The sequence below is a fragment of the Homo sapiens genome, chromosome 6, assembly GCF_000001405.40.
Source record: "Homo sapiens chromosome 6, GRCh38.p14 Primary Assembly".
Taxonomy (NCBI): Eukaryota; Metazoa; Chordata; class Mammalia; order Primates; family Hominidae; genus Homo; species Homo sapiens.
Window position 1 is genome coordinate 384,728 of NC_000006.12, and position 6,255 is coordinate 390,982.

The window sequence follows — 6,255 nt, forward strand, 5'->3', positions numbered from 1 at the left end:
CAGCTCGCTCGCACACTGCGTCAGAAACCTTCACATAGTGCTTGTCCTCAGTACGAGCCAAGGTGGGGGTGAGGAACGGCCCACTTACCAAAACTCTCAGAGACCCCTTGGGGAATTTGTGCTTCTTGTTTCTGCAAGTTTCCAGGAGACACAGAAAGGGTGCCACTAGACTCTAAGCTGTGGGAGGCCTCTGGGAGGCTCCTTGGGTGGAGCTTAGCAGCAAGAAGGCATGTTGACCTTGGTCATCAGGAGGTGTGGAGCTGCTGCTATACAATGGGGCAGGACCCCGGCAACCCATCCGGGCACCTCTTGGCTCTCCCTGTGTGTACTGATGGAAAATGGTATGTGGAGGTGCAGCACCCCTGGACCAGGAAGGGCACCGTGACCAGTTCAAAGCCCTCAAGGATGAAGGCTTGGGTATGGCCACTGAGCTGTAGTTGAAAGGTGGGAGCATCTAGAAAGGACAGAGCAGGAGGCGCTCACGAGTCTTCACTGGCGTTCCAGCTGCAGGGGCTGAGGCTGGAATCTGTTCCACTAACTTTCCTCTTCTAAGTTTTCTCCAGGATAAAGTTGCTATTTGAATTTCAGATAAACAACAAGTAGTTTCTTTAGTGTAAGTACGTCCCAAATATTGCATGGAATACACCTATACTAAAACAAGTTATTCAATGTTTATCAGAAATGCCAATTTAACTGGGAGTTTTGCATTTTTATTTGCTAAAACTGGCAACCCTCCTCCAGGGATGGAGGCCCACTGGAACCAGGAGGAGCTGCCCTCAGGAGCTATGAGAGGAAATGGATCACAGCAGAACGAGGTGTAGACTTGGGTGGATGTTGCTGTGCACTGCTTGGATTCCCACTTGGGAGTGAGAGGTTCATTCCCTCGGGTACTGAGACTGCTCCTGGGAGGTGGTTCTCAGCAGGCAGCCTTCTGTGGCGATGGCTCCAGCTGGAGAAAACGAACTTCCCAGGTCACGTCTCCTCTAGAGGCAGCTGGCACCCAATGCTAGCTCAGTCAGGGCTGCGGGGGCCCTATCCCTTCACTCCACGCTGGAACAGGCTCGTCCTAGCTCCAGAGCTTTCTGCAGCATTGACTGGAGTCCATTTGGCTTGGCGTTGCATCACGGGCACCTCTCGGCCCAGTTCTGCTCCCTTCCCCTTGACTCCAACCAAGCATGCTCCCTAATCATACATGCTGACCTCCATCTCAGAGTCTGCCACCGTCCCTGTTAAAGGCTGAAGGAGGACTAGGATCACTGTCAACAAAAGCATGACCCAAGAGGCAAGACACAGTCATGTTTATAGCATATTACTATGAGCCACTCACTACTTCTAGATGTCACGGTTCAAAGGTGATTGAAAGAAACTCTGTGTTTCCCAATGCCTGCTGGATAAATAACTCAGCATGGATGGTGAGACAGCATCTCTAACTTCGCCTGTCTCCCCGGTAATCGTGTTCCTCCTCCTCACTTCTTTATCAGGGTTCTTGGTAATAGTAGTCCCCCCTTATTCTCAGGGGATAGATATGTTCCAAAACCCCTAGCAGATGCCTGAAATAGAAGACAGTACTGAGCCCCTTATAGACTATGTTTTTTTCTGTACGTACATAGCTAGGATAAAGTGTAACTTATAAATTAGGCACAGTGAGAGATTAACAACACTAATAATAACACCAAGCAATGATGACCATACGCTGTAATGAAAGCTGTGGATGTTGTTGCTCTCTCCAACATCTCACTGCATGGCACTTGCCCTCTAATGGCCTGATGGCTGCCACATGGCTGATGGGCCAGCAGCATATACAGTGGGGTCTGCTGGACAAAGCAGTGGTTCACATCCCAGAAGGGATGAAGCGGGACCCTGCGCGATGTCACCACCCTGCAAAGAATGGCATGCAACTTCAAACACAAAGTGTTGATTTCTGGAATTTTCCATTTCTTATTTTCAGACTGAGGTTGCCCTCAGGTAACTGAAACTGTGGAAAGGGAAACGGTGGATACAGGGGACTCCTGTGTCATTCCCCATCCTGGAAACCCTCCAGCAACCCCTGACTCCCCGACCGCCCCACCCCCTGCCGAGCACGTCTACTCAGCCCCATAACTGCTTGTCCTTCCCTCCTCTGCCACCCATGCACCTGCCCGTCTGAGAGCTCTCTACCTCACCCCGAGGCCTCCCCGGCCTCCTGGCCATTGTTCTCTCTCGGGCGGTACCCACACTATGGCCAGATAATTCCTCCTTTACTGTAGTTCTTACCTTATTACGGGGGAATATGAGCCAAAGCCATGTAACTCGCTGCCGGGCAGGAACTAACAGAGCCAGCACATGCTTCTCCCGTACCCTTCTCTCCATCAGGTGGCCAGGAATGTTCCGGATCCCCGTGGCTTTGCCATGGATATCTCATTTGAACAAGAAGTAACCCCCCCCCCAGAATCTCAGGGGGTCTCGTTACCACAGCATAACCTAACCTTTCTAGAAAGATACACTCCTCTATCCAGCATGCCTAGAGTCTTATGTGTGACAAGTGACGGTATGCTGTTTCACAAAATTTCGCTGAAAGAGCCGTTGATGAACTTTAGAATAACCCAACATTAGGCGCTGTTACAAATGGGTGGAATTAGACAAAGCCGTTTGCCTTTCACCTCTTGCTTCAGTTTTCAGAAAATTGCCCAAAGGTATTGCAAACCATTTGCGTTTTCATTGGCTTGGTTAAGGAGTTGGCAGTGTCAACTGGCCCTGTGTAAAGCCACGTCACTGTTTCTGTAGAGAGCATGACACGTCAGAGAGGTGGGAAGTGTTGCCAGGACTCTTCTTAGAATGCTGGCAAGAAGAGCAGGCGAAAAGGGAAGAGCTGTTTATAAACAGGGAAAGGAGACATCACCTCGTATCCTTGGCTTCTCATTACGTCATCGATTACAATCACAAGTCTCATTTCCTACAAGCCTGAAAGCGGGTTCTTCTCTGCATGTAGGAAAAAGCCCCGCTTACTAACTCTGCCCTCAAAGAGATCACAAGCTGGTCCTGAACGCCCTGTGCCCTGGGAATGCTTACTGTCGAAGCTCTGCAAATTTTCTCATTGAAGGCACTCAGGGCATTCTGCTAATTAAATTAGGAAAATGTGTACAGCTCTACTTGAAAAAATCCAGGTTTATGCTCTGTATTCTATTACCAAAGAATTTATCACTTTTCAAATAACATTCAATTATTTTAAACTGAGTGTGCAGTGAGAGCATTTATAATATAATCTCATTTCCAGAGTGTTCCATCCCAACTCCTCTCTGGTATAAGTAGCTTAGAAGGTTAGATTTTTTTTTTCCAGAGGATTAAACATTCGAGAAGAGTGGCTAAGAGGCAGCACCAGGTTTCTCTCATTTCCTCAAAGAGAATTTAGCCTTGTGAAGAAGAATAAAGTGAAGGTCAATGGTTAGATCCATGGCTTAAAAATAAAATGCAGCTTTCCTTACTCTGAATTTACCATAACCAAAAAGGCCACGAGGCAGCCATTAATGATCCTAAGTTGCAACAGAAAGAAAAAAACACCTACTTAGGGTTAAACGAGGATTCAGTGGTCACTTGCCGCCGGCCTCCACTTCACAGGGGCGGAGGATGAGGCCAGGGAAGACTTTCTTACCCACACTGACCTGACCAGAGATGAAACTCCCCCTCCTATGACAGCCTGCACTCAGAGGCTGATTCTGAAATAGTCATGCCAAATGCAGCCAATCCCTGTGTACAAGGAGAAAAAATAGTTCCTCAGAGCTGTGTCCTTGGGCCAGCCATCTGGACCTCTCACAATCTCTTTCGTTCTCCCTACACTTGGGCTGAATCCCGCCTTCCTTGCCTGCCAGGTTTGGTTTGGGGGCCAAATGAGTGAAAGTCCGTGAGATACCCCTAAGTATTGAAGTGCGTAGTAAATGATAATAGCCCTGATTTGTTGAACATGATGATGTGCCAGGCATTGCGCAAAGCATCATTTCATCATCACAACAAACACTGCTGGGAGGCAGGGACACCCCCACCCTCCTTGTACACCCAGAAGTAGGACTTTGGTTAAATGGCTCTCCCAAGGCCTCACAGCCTTAAAAACTCAAGCACTTATTTAATCCCCAATGATACTACCTTTTGGCCATGCAATGTGTCATGGCCAGTAATTAGATTTGCAAACACATATAACCAAAGAGGATTAGAAGAGACATATATTCTATATAAATTACATGAAAATAGCACTTTCAGTATTTTCCTGATTTTTTCTGGTAATTAAAAATGATTGCCCTTTATATTTCTTTATGGATACAGTTGCATTGTTTTTAGCCAATTGTAGCCCCCCCCTTTAAAGAGTGAATTAGTGGGAAAATAGTGTTATCCAAGATTTTAAGAATCTAGTGTGTGTGTTTGTGTGTGTAGGATGGGTTTTTCTGAAATATTTTACTTGCATGTGAATGTATAATTTTAAAGATTGGCTTTTAAAATACTGAATTGAGGTAAATTCAGCTTTTCTTGCAGACTCTTTACGATAAATGTGAAATTGAAAATGGAAATGCTCCATTCAGATGGTGTGCCGACTACAACCTCAACATACGGATAATTCACTAAATAAGTAACTTCCTCGTGGAATATCACGGTCAGCCTTTGTTTTGGGTACACATTCAATGAACTGGTTTCCTATTAGTTTCTGCTTGTCAACAAGTTGTGTCATTTACTGATAAATATCCAGCCTTTTACTAAGGAATACCGATTTTCTCAAGTCTCAGTGTGTGGAGGGGGTGGGAGTTTGGTGGGGAAGCTTTTCAATTTGAGAACCTTTGCCGTTTTTTGTTTCAATCGTGACTAAGATATAAAAGTCCTTGGTCACCACTGCCAGCTGCTACCTGTTCACTGCCTCCCTGACGGGTAATGAGGCCATCCGGAGTTTTAGTGATTAAAATGTTTTATTACTTGTATTCACATCATCATTAAGAAAAATAACTTCTAGTGGATCAATATGGCAAATGAGTAAACCAGAAGATGGCGTTGAAGATTAGCAATTACATTTAAAAACAAGGTAGTGGTGTGAAGGCTCAGAGTTTCACACAACGACTGTTGTTCTGAACTAAAAGCAGAGGATGTGGATGAGTGAGGGGAGGGTATGTTGAAAATGACTAAACCCGGTGCAGAGGACACGTATACGAAAGTGCAAAAAGCTCTCATTTGCCATTTTTTGTCCTCAGCAAACTCCTCTCTGGTATGTTTGTGAACGTTTGAGGGAAAGGTAACACTGATTAAAATATAATGCAACAAGAAGGCAACGATCTTTGCTTTGTTCACTGATGTGTTCCAAGTGCCTAGGACGGTTCCTGACAAGTAGCAGGTGCTCAAAATACATTTGTCAAGTGAATAAATCTGTGAAAGGAAAGGAAGAAAAACAGGTTGTGACCAGAACTTTTTGTGAACAAAACCCTGTTGTTTATTACATAGACTTTGGTAATGGAAAACTTACTTGGGTGAAATAAAAAATGGCATCCTGTTAATTTCTGAGAACGTCTGTTGGTTTTAGGAAAAGCATACCTATCCATACCTCACTACCTGTTTTGCTCTAGCCTAAACATAGATTCTTCTTTGGTTAGGAGACATTGACCCAATATATAAGATTAAAACAAAAACTGAGAAATAAGTGAAATCAAAAGCTTTTCAAAAGTTGCAGGTTGACCTACGGTGGTGGTGGTCTAAAATCATATAGAAACCAGAGATCTGATGGTTTACCTGAAAATGCGAAGTAAATGCACATACTCAGCATCTCAGACGATCGAAAGCTCAACGGGTGAAAGCTCAGGGGGTTAATTTTGCGATTAAGGACATCTTGGAAAAGTATGTAAAATCCCTGGTCCACTTAAGTATTATTCCTATTTTGGGCTTTTATTTATTTATTTTGAGATGGAGTCTTGCTCTGTCGCCCACCTCGGCTCACTGCAACTTCAGCCTCCCGGGTTCAAGCGATTCTCGTGGCTCGTCCTCTCAAGTAGCTGGGGCCACGCCCGGCTAATTTTTGTATTTTTAGTAGAGATGGGGTTTCACCGTGTTGGCCAGGCTGGTCTCGAACTCCTGACCTCAGGCGATCCACCGCCTCGGCCTCCCAAAGTGCTGGGATTACAGGCTTGAGCCACAGCGCCTGGCCTATTTTGGGCTTTTATACCCCACTGGTAAACTGCTTTCCTCCAGGTTGAGGTTAAAACGACATCATTTTAAGGTGAACTGAAGTCTGGAAGTGATTAAGCACTTGGA

At 45.5% G+C, this 6,255-nt stretch overlaps 1 annotated feature.

Moving 5' to 3' along the window:
* Positions 4,995–5,044: an enhancer, noted in NCBI's record as "active region_23841". NCBI's record gives its function as "activates an Ori minimal core promoter by ATAC-STARR-seq in GM12878 lymphoblastoid cells {active_cell/tissue: GM12878}" and the evidence as "EXISTENCE:reporter gene assay evidence [ECO:0000049][PMID:35858748]".